The sequence below is a fragment of the Homo sapiens genome, chromosome 21 (assembly GCF_000001405.40).
Source record: "Homo sapiens chromosome 21, GRCh38.p14 Primary Assembly".
Classification (NCBI taxonomy): Eukaryota; Metazoa; Chordata; class Mammalia; order Primates; family Hominidae; genus Homo; species Homo sapiens.
This window is the reverse complement of record NC_000021.9, coordinates 29,456,069-29,474,030: the sequence shown is the minus strand read 5'-3', so window position 1 is coordinate 29,474,030 and position 17,962 is coordinate 29,456,069. Positions and strand designations below refer to the sequence as shown.

The 17,962-nt window shown below is 40.5% G+C and overlaps 1 long non-coding RNA gene across 1 annotated transcript in view; it reads right to left on the bottom strand.

The window, feature by feature from the left end:
- Positions 1-347: 347 nt before the first annotated feature.
- Positions 348-17,962, bottom strand: part of LOC107985486 (uncharacterized) — a 39,395-nt gene continuing 21,780 nt past the window's right edge. Inside the window, exon 2 of the long non-coding RNA XR_001754998.2 lies at positions 348-16,051. This is a non-coding gene — a long non-coding RNA (uncharacterized LOC107985486). The remainder of the gene's footprint in view (positions 16,052-17,962) is intronic.

Sequence of the window (17,962 nt, the reverse complement as noted above, 5' to 3'; positions counted from 1 at the left end):
GTTCAGGGTGGCAGTGTGCCTAGTCCCAGAGAACAAACAATGTTTGGTGTCAGAGTGCTGCAGTCACTCTGCAGAAGCAGAATGGACATCACCCAGAATTTGGTCCTGATGTTGAGACTGCTGACACCATACGCACACCTAGGGGGTATGAAATTGTTTATTATTCACAAGAGAAGGCTTTCTGGGGGGAATAGGAAGGCTCCAGGCAGGTCTGAAAATGGTTTGAGAGAGCTGGAAGAGGAGACTGGTGTGGTGTTTTGTGGCAGATGGGGCTGGCGTGAGGGCTTCTGCTCACAGACAGAGGGAGCAGGGAGGCTTAAAGGATGTCAGCAATTGAACATCAAAAATGGAGTCAGAGTCTTTATTAAACACAGCCTGGGGCAAGGCCTTGTGTGCTACTATTTTGTTGGGGAGTATAGTTCCAAAAAGCAGGAATGAGGTCACAGATTAAGCAGGGAAGGATGGAAAAGAAATGCAGAAAATACAGGAGATGGGTGTAGCTGGCTACTGCATATGGGGATGGCCTCTCAGCCACTGCTCCCAGGACAGTCCTGCCACAGACAGAAAGGCAAAGCTATCCATGAGTTTCAATCTTCTGTTAGTCAAAGTCTACCCCATGGGTTGACCTCCTCCCCTAAACTTCCAGATTGTACACAGGGGGCCGGAAGTGAGGGTCTGTTTACATCACTTACCCTAGTGACATCAGGGAACTCCCAGGACATGAGATGGGAAGCAGAGTGTGTTCAGGAAATGCTGTCAAGTTGTGTCTAGGACAACACAATGGGGCAGCCACTGTGGCAAGTCACTGGGCAAGTAGCAGCTGTGGCAGCAGCACAAGGGACCCAGCTGACCGGGCAGGAGCAGTGAAAGATGCTCTGGCCAACACGCTAGCAGGGGTAGAGATCTGGAGGGATGTACACACAAAGTGCAGGGCAACTGGTTAGGCTGGTCACAGCTATGTTGTTGTGTTTGTTCACATGCTCCTTTTCCAGGCTCTTTTGCAGTTTGCAAGAAGGGGTTGCCATGTCACAAGTTTCTAGCCATTGAAATGAAAATGGAAGTTTTTGGGAGAGATGTTTCTTCCCGGTTGAAAGAAAAGAAAGCCAGTTGAGAATTTCTCTTTCTCTCCTCTTCTCCTTATCTTGGAGTACCATCTTGATGCCAAGAATACTGCAGCAGGCCAGGCGCGGTGCTCACGCCTGTAATCCCAGCACTTTGGAATGCTGAGGCAGGCGGATCACGAGGTCAGGAGATCGAGACCATCCTGGCTAACACAGTGAAACCGCGTCTCTACTAAAAATAGAAAAAAATTAGCCGGGCGTGGTGGCAGGAGCCTGTAGTCCCAGCTACTCGGGAGGCTGAGGCAGGAGAATGGCGTGAACCTGGGAGGCGGAGCTTGCAGTGAGCCGAGATCGTGCCACTGCACTCCAGAGCCTGGGCGACAGAGTGAGACTCCGTCTCAAAAAAAAAAGAGAATACTGCAGCAGTTCGGCAGGAATCCTGCAACAATTAAGTAGGTCTAAAAGCCTGCAGACTGAGGGTGATGAACTAGAAGGATGAACACAGTCCCTGTCCCTACTGACATGACTGAGCTGCTACCCTCCGTCTGGAAGCAGCTATGTCTGGATTTGTTGTTATGGAAGATAATGACATACTTTTATTAATCAGATTTTCAGTTGCAGGGAAATGTAATTTCACACACACTAGAAAGGAAAATCAATGGTGGGCACGCAACAAAAATAAGCCCCCAGGTACCTCCAAGCCCCATCTTGCGTGAAGCTAAACACAAGAGAGACACACATAGGCCCCATCGTATGGTGATGTACCAGGCCACTCTTGTTGGAGACCCCCATTCTGCCTTGACTCCTGGGAGAAAGACAGAGTAAATAACTTAGTAAATATTTTACCTTCAGATAACCTTGAATGTAGATGTTTCTACCTGACAGAAAAGAGGTGCTATGTCATCATTTTCATCTCATAACATATTTGCTGGTATTTAGATGTTGGAAAGAAGGGGAGGGTGTAGCAAAATGCTGAATAATAACACTAATAATAATAAGGAGGAAAACACTACTAGTTCATGAGTTGCACAAGATGCCAAAGTTAAAAAAAAAAAAAAGTACTTAGGAGCTTATTTTTATCATCACACTGGATCATGGGTGATCTGGGGTTTTGCCAGAGTTGAGGATTTGCATATTGACAGTTCCTGACTTTTACGTATTGTACTTTCTCTTAACCTTCACTTTCATGCACTCTGTATTGATCCCCCTAAATCTGCTTTTATGTGACAGATAGGGACTCTCCTGCCTCTACTGCTCAGTGATAAAGTGGCATTGTGCCTGCCCACCAACAGGTTCTACCAACAGTTCTACCAACAGCGCCACCTCGATCAAAACACCAAGTTTGTCAAAGCATCTCGAATACTATTTTATTGCATGTGTTACATTATAAGTTAAATAGGAAACATAAAACAAGAGTTCCAACACTAAAGACAAAAGGCATAGGCCACCTCAATTCGAAGTATGATGAAATAAACATAAGACTCACTTTATATGAAGAAAGCAGAATGTATTTAGCCTCAAATTGCCTCTTACTGGATGCAAACCAGTTAACAGCATCTTTAGTTTTGTATGAAAACAATTAAATAATATGTACAAGATACAAGAAATATATTAAATATTGAGATTAAAAGGCTGAAAGAATGTGTAATTTTATAATATTTCTTAATAGATTGGCAAATGAACCACATCACCCTCCTACTCATAATATATAAATCTATTATTCTGTCTTTATACATAAACAAACATATTTGTAAATATACTTTGTACTTAAGTAGGAGATACTTATATTATACATTGTGCTCATCAAAACCTTTGCTAAAGGAATAATGTACCATCTCATTACCTTCCCCCAAATATTCATAGTTAAATTTGGTTCTACTCAGATATACACTGCATTTAGAAACCACACCACAAGAGAAAAACACAGCGTCTTTCAGTCACTCCTTCCTGCTTCCCTAATAAAGAGAAGTTCTACATGTACAGAAATAGAATATCTGCCCCCCATGAACGACAAAGGGGCCCCCAGTGAATCAGTGTCTGGCCTTAGCTATGATTTCCTTCTAACAATCCCCCAGGAGAATTATGCACAGAGACCAACCTCTGATTGATTATGGACCAGTGATCAGGTCATTAGCACACGATCTTTGTTATTTACTAATAAACGTCCTCAGCCTTGCACACCACCATAAATTCAGCTCACTGGGGGGATTCTCGGAGCACCACTTGTGCCTTCCTCATCCCAGAGATGGGTCATTTATCCACAAGCTGTGTGCATTTTGCCTTCTGCCTCTAAATACACTCTTTTCTCACAAGGGTCGAAATGGCTTTCATTTTTGTACAAAGTCCACATCCCATACACTCCCCCTTCTGAATGACTTTGAACTTAAAATATGTTTGTTTGTTTAACTTAAGCCACTTCAGTCCATTTACTTCTTTACTTATCTCTTCCCTGCACCAATTACTCACCCTCCTTTTAGTAGCAGCCATTAATATTCTCCATTAATGGTCTCTTTCCAAAACCTAGTCCCTCAGAAATTTCCTTCACCAAGACTCTCCTTTGAAAATATCTACTCCCAAAGGTCTACACTCATCTCTTTGAGCAGCATCTTTCCTAAATATGTGTAATAATAAATTTAGCCCTGGCTAAGAAACTTGAAGAAGTGATCAAGGATCATTTTAAAGAAAAATGATAAACAATGAACAAAAGGCAACCTGAGTCTGAAGAGTTTAATAAAGGGCTCAGGCCGGGTTCAGTGGCTCATGCCCATAATCCCAGCACTTTGGGAGGCCGAGGCGGGTGGATCACCTGAGATCAGGAGTTTGAGACCAGCCTGGCCAGCATGGTGAAACCTCGTCTCTACTAAAAGTACAAAAATTAGCAGGGCGTGGTGGTGCATGCCTGTAATCCCAGCTACTCAGGAGGCTGAGGCAGGAGAATCACTTGAACCTGGGAGGCGGAGGTTGCAGTGAGCTGAGATCATGCCATTGAACTCCAGCCTGGGCAAAAAGAGCAAAACTCCACTCAAAAAATAAAATAAAATAAAATATAAAATAAAATAAAATAAATAAAATAAAATAAAATAAAATGCTCAAATATAAACTCAAGAGTTTATGAAGAATTGTAACCATTTATCTTTTTCCTTAAAGCTTGAAAAAGCAAAAAAAAAAAAAAAAAAAAACAGACAAGAGGCATTTCAGTTTTGTACTTTTTGAGAAAAAAAAAATCCTGACAGAAACTGTTGTTAGATATTCAAATCAGTTACCAAAGGAGATTGTGAAGCCCATGCCCTTGAGTGGGTGAAATTACAAGATGAATTCTCATTGCCTGGAAGGAAGCAGGGGGTAATGTTAATGACCTCTGTAAGTCTCATTCTATCCAATACTATTATGCCCAAGTGGTATACAAACTGTTGTTGTTGTCTTTGTTTTAATAATCAAAATGTGTGACACAAAAGCAATTGAATGCAAAAGTAACTGCCTTCAGGAAAATATACCTGTTGACAAAGTACTGTAAGAAAATCACGGCCTGGCATGGTGGCTCATGCCTGTAATCCCAGCATTTTGGAGGCTGAGGCGGGCAGATCACGAGGTCAGAAGATCAAGACCCTCCTGGCTAACATGGTGAAACCCCATCTCTACTAAAAAGAAATACAAAAAATTAGCTGGGTGTGGTGGCACGCACCTGCAGTCCCAGCTACTGGGGAGGCTAAAGCAGAAGAATTGCTTGAACCCGGGAGGCAGAGGTTGCAGTGAGCTGAGATCACGCCACTGCACTCCAGCCTGGGCAACAGAGAGAGACTCCGTCTCAAAAAAAAAAAAAAAAGGAAGAAGAAGAAAGAAAATCACATAATCCTCTTTGCATGTCACTTATGATTGCTCTTTGAGATTAATTCCAGTTGTACATGCATTAGGGATGGTATGCTTTATTTAGGGAAGTGATTTAAAAAATTAGTCATTTCTTATTTCATCAGTGTAAAAGAATCAGCTAAACATTTTAATGCAGTAATTTCAATGACTTAGAAGCAAATTAATAAAATATTCCCTTGTCATCCACTGGGAAATGCATTCTACCTTGTTAGAGACATATTTATTTAACCTAGTGAAATTCAGAATTGCTTATAATCAAAAAGCAATTTTGGATTAAGGAATAATCCTATGTTAACATGCAGAAATGGTAGAGAAACATCACAGAATAAGTTATGAGTGAAAACTTAAGAAGGAAGAAAGATTGAAGAAATGAGAACTTGCCACATTGCAGGCAATCCTTCTATTAATAATACCCTAAGTTCCAAAGACTCATTTTGAAACCATGTGTTCAGAATTTAGAGTACATATTCCTGCATAATCATATACTCTACAGGTTGGAAAGAGCCTCAAAGATCATTTAGGTCAATGCTCTGGGATTTAATCATCTATTACATCATCTCTACCAAGTAAACAATGTTATTAAAAGGCAATTAAGACTCCAGATTACCTTATAAAATTGTTTTCATGGCCAGGTGCAGTGGCTCATGCCTGTAATCTCAGCACTTTGGGAGGCCAAGGCGGGCGATCACCTGAGGTCAGGAGTTCAAGACCAGCCTGGCCAACATGGTGAAACCCCGCCTCTACTAAAAATACAAAAATTAGCCAGGTGTGGTGGCAGGCGCCTGTAATCCCAGCTACCTGGGAGGCTTAGGCAAGAGAATTGCTTGAACCCAGGAGGGAGAGGCTGCAGTGGGCCAAGACTGTGCCATTGCACTCCAGCCTGGGCAACAAGAGGGAAACTCCATCTCAGAAAATATATATATATTTTTACATCATAAAGATCTAGCATGTACTAAACACATAGTATGATACCATTTTCCCACTCTATATCATAATATTTGTATGAAAAAAATAGGATCAGATTATAGTCGCAATTTGGGGTGGCAGATACACAGACACATTTGAAGCCCCAAACTCCACGCAGAAGCATGATTTATCTCTACCCCATGTGCAAGCACCAGAGGGCTGAGGAAAGGAGTGAGGGGAGAGCTGTGAGTAGGATCAGGACCTGTGTTGTAAGGTAGGAGAGAAACAAACAAGGGGCTAGGAAAGAGGTGAGAGAGAGACTGGAGATAACACAAGGGCAATGAGATTTGTAACTTCCGCATCTCCCTTGACTGGCTTTACTTGCCTTCCAACTCAGTGCTACCCTGAGAAGGCCAGCCTCCACTCTCATGAATCCTCCTCTCTTCACACAATGTGGAAGTTCTGAGCATTCTATTCAGTCAAGCATTAAGTCACTCATCTACTTGTTCACTTTTTAAACATTTCTATTTTGCACTCTATCACTTTACAGTTGTTGGTGTTGACCAGTGACCAAGAGTTCTTGGAGCACTGATGCCTTCTACTATGCATTTCTCAGTACCCAAACCCTGCTTGTGTTTGGCTCACAAAGCATGTTAAAATGTCTTTGTAGAATAGGAGTTTAGGGTGCGGTGGCTCATGCATGTAATCTCAGCACTTTGGGAGGCCAAGGCGGGTGGATCACCTGAGGACAGGAGTTGAAGAGCAGCCCGGCCAACATGGTGAAATCCCATCTGTACAAAAAATACAAAAACTTAGCTAGGTGTGGTGGTGGGTGCCTGTAATCCAAGCTATCTGGGAGGCTGAGGCAGGAGAATCGCTTGAACCCAGGAGGTGGAGGTTGCAATGAGCCGAGATTGCACCATTGCACTCCAGCCTTAGCAACAAGAGCAAAAACTCTGTCAAAAAAAAAAAGAAAAAGGAGTTCATTAAATAAAACGAAAGGAAAGGGAGGTGAAGGAGGAAAAATAGCAGAGGTCCCTTAGTATAAATAGCAGAGTAGATTCTCTCCGCTCTTCAATCTCCTTCCAACTTGCAACCATCGGCAAGAGCTGGGCCGTGAGAAATGGAGCAGCAAAGAAACCAGCAGCGGGAGAGAAATGAGAAGTGACAACTAAGGAACTATTTCTTTCCTTTTCCCTCCCCTTTCTACTTTTCTGCCACTTCACCCACCCTCAGAGACGCCTCCTCTAGTCAAGACTGAATTGTCTGAATAGGGGAAATCTGGTACCATAAGGATATGGTTTCATAAAGCAAGAGGTCTAAAGGGTTAAGAAGAAAGAGAAAGGTAGCAGGAGAGAAATTCCCAGTAGATATAAGAAGAGCCTAGTCCTTATGCAGCACAGATGACCAGCACTCACTAAATATCCATGCACTTCTCCAGGTTTCCCAACCCCATGCATTGGAGCAGTGGTGTCACGTGACTAACTCTTCTCCATGGAACACAAACGGAAGTAATATGCCAGTTCCAATTTGAGGAAGGTCTGAGTGGGTATGCCTTCTCCAAGGCTGTTTTTTTCCTCTGCTACATTGACCTTGGAGACCATTTGCTCTAAGTGGCATGACTACAAATCAAAGAAAGCTATTAGACACAACTAGGCCTTATATGAGAAGAAAACGAGCATTTTTTGGTGCAAAATCAATGCACTTCAGAGATGTATTTGTTACCACAACATAGCATAACATAACCTAACTGATTCACCTTATTTCACCCATCTGACACGGTCACAAACAGGAAAAGGAAGGTTGCTTAGTTGTGAGTACAGGCCAATAACCGCCTACTACTCATTAGCATCTCATTCATCATTTTTAATTCAAAGTTTGAAACCATCTCCAAGCCATCACTTCCATTTCTACCTGTCACTTAATTAGAAGATATAATATTTTCAAAGAATTGACTAAAGGGCCTGGGAGTGGTGGCTCACACCTGTAATCCTGGCACTTTAGGAGGCCAAGGCAAGAGGATCACTTGAGCTTGGGAGTTCAAGACCACCCTGGGTAACATAGTGAGACCTCATCCCTACAAACAATTTTTCAAATTAGCTGGATGTGGTGGTGCATGCCTGTAGTCCCAGCTACTCGGGAGGCTGAGGTAGGAGGATCGCTTGAGCCTGGAAGGTCAAGGCTACACTGAGCCGTGACTGCACCACTGCACTCCAGCCTGAGTGAGAAAGACCCTGTCTCAAAAAAAAAAAAAAAAAGAAGAAGAAGAAGAAGAAAGAGAATTAACTAAAGTATATTCAAATAGCACATTCCTCTAGGTACCCTGAAATCTACCTCTGAATGAAGTTATATTGGCAGCGCTACGTTTATCACATTGGCCACTGTAGACTCATTCTGAGCTTGGCATGAGGCCATTAGATCAAGAGATGCCACCCTCTAGTGTTAGGCCCTGTATAATCTCCTCCCCTTGAGAGTGGCTGGGACCTGCAGCTTGCTTCCAACCAATAGAATATGACAACAGTAATAGGATATTACTCCTTGATTAGGTTATGTTGTGTGGCAAATGTGAGGAGATGACAGTTTCAGGATTATGTTACATAATATAAAGGCAGACATGTGAGATTCACTGCAGTGCCAGAGTATAAACACTGGAGAATGCTACTCATTCTATTGCACAGCATCGTCTTTATGAAAATCCTCTGAATAGTTTTCTCCCTTATCTCAATATTAGTAATAGTTGCTCTTCTCCTGTAAGACAGAATAGTATTAGGACTCATCTCATCAGGTTGTTGCAAGGATTAAATTAATTCATTTAAAAAGCTTAAAATGATGCCCAGGACAGAGTAAGCACCACATATATTTTTGCCATTACTAGGAATTTTTTTAAATCTTAATTGAACTATAAATTGTGCTTATGCTCAATATGTTTTCTAACTGATAAGAACCAAAACCTGAGCCTTCTCACAGCAAGTCTATCAAATGTCTCCAACTTTGTTTCGTGCCCCATTTCTTTCTCACCTTCTTCCAGTGTATTTAATTTGGCTGCATTTTATATATTCCTGTAAGCTGATCTAAATTCGCTCCAGAGCCACATAGGCTAAAAATAAATAAAAATTCACAGAATAATCCCTAAATTCTTTACTTACCTTTTATTAACACTTGGAGAGGGAAAGTGAAACAATGAAAGCCTGTACATAAAAGTAAAATTTTTTCCACTACAGTCTTCTCTTGCTTTCCTACTGTTATTAAAGATGTAAATCTTAACACCTTGGACTGGAAGAACAGATAAGCTCCAGCTAGCCTCAATACCCTAAGTTTAACTTTGACACCTCAGTCAAAAATTTACAAAGGGAGCATCCCTTTCAGCTAACTTGTCTCTGAAACACTCAGGCTAAGGATTAAAAGCCCACTCTGCTCATGGGCCAGAGACATGGAAGGCCACTTTAGGTGAAAGCTGTAACTCTAGTGGCCATTTTCCAAACAAATACTTAGGCCAGTACTGGAATAATATATTTATAGAAACACAATATTTAAAATATAAATTTGGTTGAAAAATTGGACTGCATGATCATTGTGGCTAAAGGACTTAAAACATTGGCCCTGAGCTCAGAGCAAATTTGGTTCCATTCTGTTCAATAAATATTTGGTGGCTTTATTTCCTGGGCATTGTGCGAGGCTCTGAGGACCCAAAGACAAATAAGTTATGGACCAAACCCTCGAAGACTCTAAGTGGGTAAGAAGATACACTTAAATAATTATTCTGTATGACTGAACACTCCTCATTATCTTCATAGCATTTATTCAAATAGTAATTATAAATTAGTTTGCTTACATGTTTACTTTCTGCCTTCTTTACTAGGCCATTTGTTCATTGTGGGGAAGGACCATGGCTATTTTGTGACTGTGAGCTCAGCGCTAGTACAGAAGCCCATCATATGTTAGAGACCCAATAAATGTTTTCTAAGTGAGAATGTATGCATATATAAAATTTATAGAAAGCAATAGTTTTCACGTTATACAAACAACAACGTGTAGAAGATGTAATGGAAAAGAGTCATGTATAATGGCCAAAGCAATAAATCTATAAAGCACAAAATACCAAAGAATAAACCTAATAAGAAATATGTGGCCGGACATGGTGGCTCACACCTGTAATCTCAGCACTTTGGGAGGCCGAGGCAGGTGGACCATCTGAGGTCAAGAGTTCAAGACCAGCCAGGCCAACATGGTGAAACCCCATCTCTACTAAAAATACAAAAATTAGCTGGATATGGTGGCATGTGCCTGTAATCCCAGCTACTTGGGAGGCTGAGGCAGGAGAATCACTTGAGCCTGGGAGGCGGAGGTTGCAGTGAGCCAAGATCGTGCCACTGCACTCCAGCCTGGGTGACAGAGTGAGACTCCATCTCAAAAATAAAAATAAAAATAAAAATAAATATGCAAAAACAATATGAGGGAAGAAAAATTAGTATATATCTGAAAAACAAAGACACCAAGTTTGTAAATGCACCAAAACTTAATATGGTAAAGATGCCAATTCTTTCTAAGCTAATTCATAAATTTAACAGTACTAATAAGAATACTGAAAAAGAAATTTTGTTCTAGAATTAGATAAGCTAATTCTAAAGGTCATGTGGAAAATAAACTAGTAATAGTAATGAGGAAATCTCCAGAATAGAAGTCTTAGAAGCCAATGAATACATAACAAAACTTCAATAATTAAAACAATATCATATTGAGACATATGTAAATATACTAGAGAAGAGGAGATAAATTCCAGAAATAGAATCTACTTTATGTGGGAATTTAGTATATGATAAAGGTGATACTCATTCTGTGGTGGTAAAGATGAACTTTAATATACAATGTTGGAACAACCAAATAGTCTTCTCAAAAATGACACTGTTAGATTCATATATCATACCATATTCAAATAAATCTTCCTAATGGGATTTAGGATTTAGATGTAAAAAAATTACAACATAGTTTAATTTCTTTATATACTTAGCATGGAAGAGACGTTTACAGCTATGACTCAAAAATGAGAAGTCAAAAGAAAAGATTGGTAAGTTCGTAAACTTTGCATTCAAAAATATAAGTGCAAAACGGAAGAAAATATTTGCAATTCATGTCACATAGAAATGTAGAAGAAAAGTAAAAGTTGGATGGAAATATAAACAAAGAATATGAACAGACAGTTCACTAAGAAAAAACACAGGTGGTAATTAAATCTATGAAAATACTCATAATAAAAAGAAAGGATTTTTATTTTCTCACAGTGATGGGAAGAATCTTATGATAGCCAACCTCCACCCCCTGGTGTTAGGGCCTGTACAATCCCCTCTCCTTGGTGTGGCCAGGACCTGTGATTTGCTTCTAATCAATAGAATATGACAACAGTGATAGGGTGTTACCCCCTGGACTAGGTTTTGTTGTTTGGCAAATGTGCTGGGATGACACTCCCGTGATTAGGTTACATGGTATGAGACTCCACCACTTTAACAGACCATAGCAAGGGACTTTCCTGCTAGCCTTGTGGAAGCCAGTTGCTGTGATGTGAACTGTCTATGGGGAGGCTCATGTGCCCAGGAACTGCAGACAGCTTCTCATTGCTGAGGGCCTCATTCTTACAACCATAAGGAACTGACTTTTGCCAACAATCACATGAGTTTGGAAGAGAACTCTCAGCCTCAGGTGAGACCACAGTCACAACCCACATTTTGATTGCAGCTCCTGAGACCCTAAGAAGAGGATGCAGCTAAGTTGTGCTTGGGTTCCTGAACCACAGAAACTGTGAGATACTAAATGTATGTTGCTTTAAGCTGCTGAGTTTATGATTATTTGTTATTCAGCGATAGAAAACTATGACACTTGTCAACCATATTGGCAAAAAAACAAAATATACAATATTGTGTTGCGGAGTATGCCCATGGGCTGTCTCATATGAAATGGTTCAATGCTTATGGAGGAAAATCTGGCAATGTCTAGCACAGTGACAGTAACATTTGCCCTTTGGCCCAGAAATCCAACTTTTGGAAATCTACCTATGCTTTCATATATATGAAATAATGCATGTACAAAATTTTTCATTAAAGCATTTTTTATAATAACAAATAATGAAAACAATTCAGTGGTTCAACAATTGAGAATTAGTTAAATTATCTAGGACCATGTATATGATGGAATACTATGTAACTATAAAAAAGGAATGGGGGAGGCCGGGCGCAGTGGCTCACGCCTGTAATCTCAACACTTTGGGAGGCCAAGGCGGGCAGATCACGAGGTCAGGAGATCGAGACCATCCTGGCTAACACAGTGAAACCCCGTCTCTACTAACAATACAAAAAAAAAAAAATTAGCTGGGCATGGTGGCAGGCGCCTGTAGTTCAGGCTACTCGGGAGGCTGAGGCAGGAGAATGGTGTGAACCCGGGAGGCAGAGCTTGCAGTGAGCTGAGATCGCGTCACCGCACTCCAGCGAGTGCAGGGAGAATGAGACTCCGTCTCAAAAAAAAAAAAAAAAAAAAAAAAAAGGAATGGGGGAGATCTTTATGTAATGATATGGAAAAATGGAAAAAAGTAAAGTTCATAACAATATATGTAGTACACTGCCTTTGTATAATGAAAATTTATGTATTTGCATAAAGAAACTGTGGAAGTTAAAAAAAAAAATTTAATGATTACCTGTAGGGAAAAGAAAGAAAAAAAATGGATAGGAGTAAGACTTCTCCATGGATACCGTTTTTATCATTGTATTTTTGAAACATAAACATCTTACCTACTAAAAATTAATTTAATGTTCTAAGTTGTTGAATGGATGGATGTAAGAAAGCACTGTGTCATAATGAACATACTCAAGATGTAGAGATGACACAGAGAAAAAGGGGGTGAGAGAGGGAAGTCGGCTAACATGTCTTCACAGACAGGGGACACTGAGTGGGACACTGAAAGATGATCAAGAGTTACCATGGGCCGGGCGCGGTGGCTCACGCCTGTAATCCCAGCACTTTGGGAAGCTGAGGCGGGCAAATCACAAGGTCAGGAGTTCCAGACCAGCCTGGCCAATATGGCAAAACCCCATCTCTACTAAAAATACAAAAATTAGCTGGGTGTGGTGGCACGTGCCTCTAGTCCCAGCTACTCAGGAGGCTGAAGCAAAGAATCGCTTGAACCCAGGAGGCAGAGGTTCCAGTGAGCTGAGATCACACCATTGCGCTCCAGCCTGGGCAACAGAGCAAGACTCCATCTCCAAAAAAAAAAAAAAGTTACCATGGATGAACAAGCCTCAAAAGGACATCACAGACGATGAGAACTGCAAGTTCAAAGATACGGTGGGGTAAAACAGACAGTATATCCAGGTAATAAGAGACTCTAGTCTTATTAAATGTTATGGGGGTGCCGGAGAGCTGTGTACTGAGAGAAGAAGCCAGAGGCCAGATCAAGGGGTCCTTGGAAGCTCTCCTAAGAGACTTGGACTTTATGCTGTGCATAATGTTTATGTCTTAAATGGGTCATTCTAGAAGTGACTTGGAGGATATATCAGAGGGTATCTGTATTTATGCCTCATGGCTGCCATAGCAAATTCCCATGAACTTGGTGGCTTAATACAACAGAAATTTATTTTCTCACAGTTCTGGAAGCCAAAGATCTGAGCCAGAAGTCTGAAATCAAGGTGCTAGCAGGGACACATAGGGAAGAATCCATCGTCTGTCTCTTCCAGCTTCTGGAGGTTGCCAGTTTCTTTGGCTCATGGCCACATTATGCCAATCTCTGCCCTCATCTTCACCTCACCTTTTCTCCTATGCGTGTCTTCTCCTCTTCTGTTTCTTACAGGGACACTTGCCATTGGATTTAGGGCCCACTCAAGTAATTCAGGATGATCTCATCTCAGCATTCTGAGCTTAATTATATGTGCAAAACATCTTTTCCAAATAAGGTCACATTCACACCTTCCAAGGATTAGAACATGGACATATCTGTTGTGTGTGTGTGAGGTGGGGAAGAGGCAGTCATGGTGAATGCTAATGACAAAAAGTCTATTTGGAAGATAGTTGCAATTGACCAGGTAAGAGATGTTCATCAAGTATTCAATTTTTCTGATTAAAAACTTCCCACGGCGAAATCCTACAAGCCACTCACATTTTTCAGAAATCCACCCCACATTTTCCTTTCTATAATTTAAGCCCACCTTTCTTGCCTTGATTTTTACTCAAGCAATTGAATGTATATTTGCAGCAGCACCCCCCCCGCATCTCCTCTAAGTCATTTCTTATATTCATATCATAACCACTATGTGGCATCTTATGCTGTAAGAATAATTCTGGGCTTTCTCATCTGAAATGGCAGAAGTCCTCAGGGAGATTCCCTCCCCGAAAATGACACTTACCTAGAGGCAGACAGAGTGTTCTACACAGGATATTTTCCAGCAAGAAAGCCCAAGGCACGTAGCGTTAAAGTTTCTGGTGAGGTCTGTGGAGCACCAGACCAATCATCATAAAATCCAGATATGAGAATTTCTAAAGTAAGTGGTAGCATATTAAAATAGGATGCAGAAGACCTAGGAAGGGATCAAATCTTTAAACTTCACATCAAAGTCAAGAGTGGTTTCATATGAAAGACAAGCCAATCTAATCTCCCATCCCCTTCACCTCCAAAACGGTCACTATCTGGCTGTTTTTGGTTAGCAATTAAGCAGCAAAGAGTTATTATCCAGATCATGTTCTGCTTGTATTTCTAAACCTAGCTAAACTGTAGTTATTGACCTTCAATCTAACTAACCAATGCTGCTAGTGACCCCTTGCTTTCTAATCAGTTAGACTGGTCACTTTCTAACAGTGAAAGCTCTGACTGTAAGCCAGTCCTGTCCAAAAGAACTTTCCACGATGACAATAATGCGTACATACAACATTGTATAATAATCTGCACTCTCCAATATGATGTCCACCAGCCACATGTGGCTACTGACCACTTGAACTGTGGCTGGTGTGAGGGAGAAACCAGTTTTTAAATTATTTATCATTTTCATTAATTTAAAGAGCCAAATGGAGTTCATGGCTACCATACTGGACACCACAACTCTAAGATGGGTCCTGGCCCATCTTCCTATTTGAACAGACTGAAGTTCCATGTTGGTATCACTTTAGTCTTGGTCTGTTGTCATATTTACTTCCTGCTCCCAAGGAAGAATCTGGTAAGCCTACTGGGACTTATGGCCATCAATTATATTTCAAAGGAATAAGTTAGAAGTTTTTTTTTCTCTTTGATATTAGTTTGAGATGTTATGAAATAAGACCTATGATACTGCCTAGATAATTTCAAAAAAATGTTTATAATTGTGGGATGCCCTGCTAGCCACAGATCACTTAGCGGTTTTCTGGATAGACTCGCCCTTTTTTTCCCCTTGCTTCTCTTTCTAGGAAAATTAACAAAGGCTTCTTTGGCTCCTGGATTTAATTTCTATGATGTGACAGAAACATGTACATTTACATACACTATCATTTAAGCCTGAAATTGCAAAAGTTTCTTAGATTGTTTTCAAGTTCCTAACTACCCAACTTCTGGATGGAGTGAAGTTGATTACTCATTGAAGGGGTGAATATAAAGTATTTAGGACTAGATCCACTGTCCTTCAAGGAACTCCTACAGATGTGTCTAGGAAGACGAATCATTGTTTCTGTGAGTGATTTTATCACATCTATACACTAAGCATTAAAAGAAAGCTGAAGCTTTCAGTAAGCAGACCAGGCTGTCACGAAAGCCTTCACTGTATGAACCCAGATTCTCCATTCCCCAAAATCAGAGAACATTCCAACAACTCACCTGTCCCTTTATTCACAGTGTAAAAAGAAACATTCAGCTCCATGAGGTGCTGAAGAAACAGAGATGGTTGGTTCAATGAGACTATGGGGCACGGAGAGCTCTCATAAAACTTACTACTAGATTATATGATGGTAAGTCCTACAATAGAGATGACATAGGAACAAACAAGATCAAATTTATAAATAATATATTAAAAATACAGATAGCAAAAGAATGAATGAGAAGAAATCTACAAAGCACTTCCCACTGAAAACGGTTTCAAAACTATGTGATATTATGACATAGCATTACTGTTTTGATAAGTTAACTGAAATCCCAGCAACTCAGGAGGCCAAGGTGGGAAGATTGCTTGAGGCCAGGAGTTCAAGGCCAAACTTGGCAACATAGCGAGACCTTGTCTCTACAAGAAAAAAAATTTTTTTTAATTATCTGGGTATGGTGGCCCGCACCTGAAGACCTAGCTACTCCTCAGGAGGCTGAGGCGGAAGGATTGCCTGAGCCCGGGAGTTCAAGGTTACAGTGAGCTATGACTGCACCACTGCACCCCAGCCTGAGTTACGGAGCAAGACCCTGTCATTTGTTGTTGTTTTCTCTCTCTTCTTAGATAAAATTTCTGTTTGTGACACAAACAGCCATTAGAGAGAAATGATTAGCTATTATACTTCTCAGTGGTGGTTAGCAATGGTCTATAATTATTCATTTCTATTAGGAGCCATTAGCCATTAATTCCATGTATTAGAATTTTGAGAGCAGCTTGACCACATTGATTCCTGGGTCTACATTTAAAATAGATGTGAGAGAGAGAGAGAGACAGAGAGAGAGAGAGAGAGAGAGAGAGAGAGAGAGAGAGAGAGAGAGAGAGGATAGACAAGTATGTATTTTTGAAACAAACTACTAAGTTATGGTCATGTTTATTGAATGGCTTTCAAATCCATTGGAATACATTGTTCCAGAACTGTGTTTTATCTGTGTCTTCACCGATGCAAGTTTTCATTAAAATAGAATCTGAGACTTTAGGAACTTTAGCCACTGTCAAGAAGAGAGGAGCCCAGGACAGGAAGACATAACCTTAACCCTGTCTTTGCTGAGTGAACTTAAGCAATAGATTTAACCTTTTTATGGCTTAGCATCCTCATCTGTAAAATGAGAAAAATGGTATCTACTTCATTAGGATGTTGCAAAGATTAAATGAGTTCGTTATTGTTAAGCACTTAACTGTCATCATCATCATCATCCCACAGATGTAGACACCGATGTCCAGGTAGGCGATGTGATTTGTCCAAATCATAAAACTAGCATTAAGCACGCAGAAGAACCCAAATCTCTTGACAACTAGCCCTGAGTTCCTTCCACTGTGCCATGCTGCCTGTATTGTTCTATACTACGCCATACTTTCTGATGCATAAAGTCCTTATCAGGTACATAACTTATGAAGGAAAGAACTCAGAAAGAAGAAGGCCTAATGATGCCATTTCTAGAGGTCTCGAGGCAAGGCCATATAGGCCAAAGTGGCTGCTGAAACCAGTCACTTCAGTGTCACTATTAAAGTCCTTGTACCGAATGTATCTCCCCATTTGCTGCTATTCCTAAAATTTCTCTTATATAAGGAACAAGTTTTCATTGCATAATAATAAATGTATAAATAATATTGTTTTAATTATTAATAACCATATACTGGCTCATATTTATAGTACTCATATCAAAACCTTACTCTTAATAAATGAAAATATAAGGTAAAATATATGAACATATAATAATATTTGTGTAATACATAAGAACATAAGACCATGAGCCACGAAAGAGGGATTGTTGAGGTGAGGAATGAAATGGTACACAGTGGATGCTTTGGGTATCCAAATCAAACTTAATTTTCCTCACAATTTTCCAGGAGCCAGTAGGAACATTTCCTGGGATATCACAGCAAGGAATGGAGTACAGCTCCACCAGGAGCCATTAAATATGGGATTAATGATGGACAATTCACGTGAAAGGCAAGAACTGCTTGTCTCCTTCCTCGAAACACCAAGGCCATTCCAGACCCAAGTCAAACTGAGTCTGTAGCCATGAAAAAAATGGTCCCCATGGGGTCCCTGCAGGAGAGACAACAAAACATTTTGATGTTACATATCCTCCAGATCCATGTGGGCTTTCAGAAAAAAAAAAAAAAGGCCCTTGTACAGATATGTTTTATAATCCAGATTTTTACATAGCATGAAAGGGGAAGGAAAAAGGAGCCATTCACAAATTGTCCATCTATTCCTGTATTCTGCAGGAACAATACTTTGCTTCCACATGAACTGCTTTCAACATA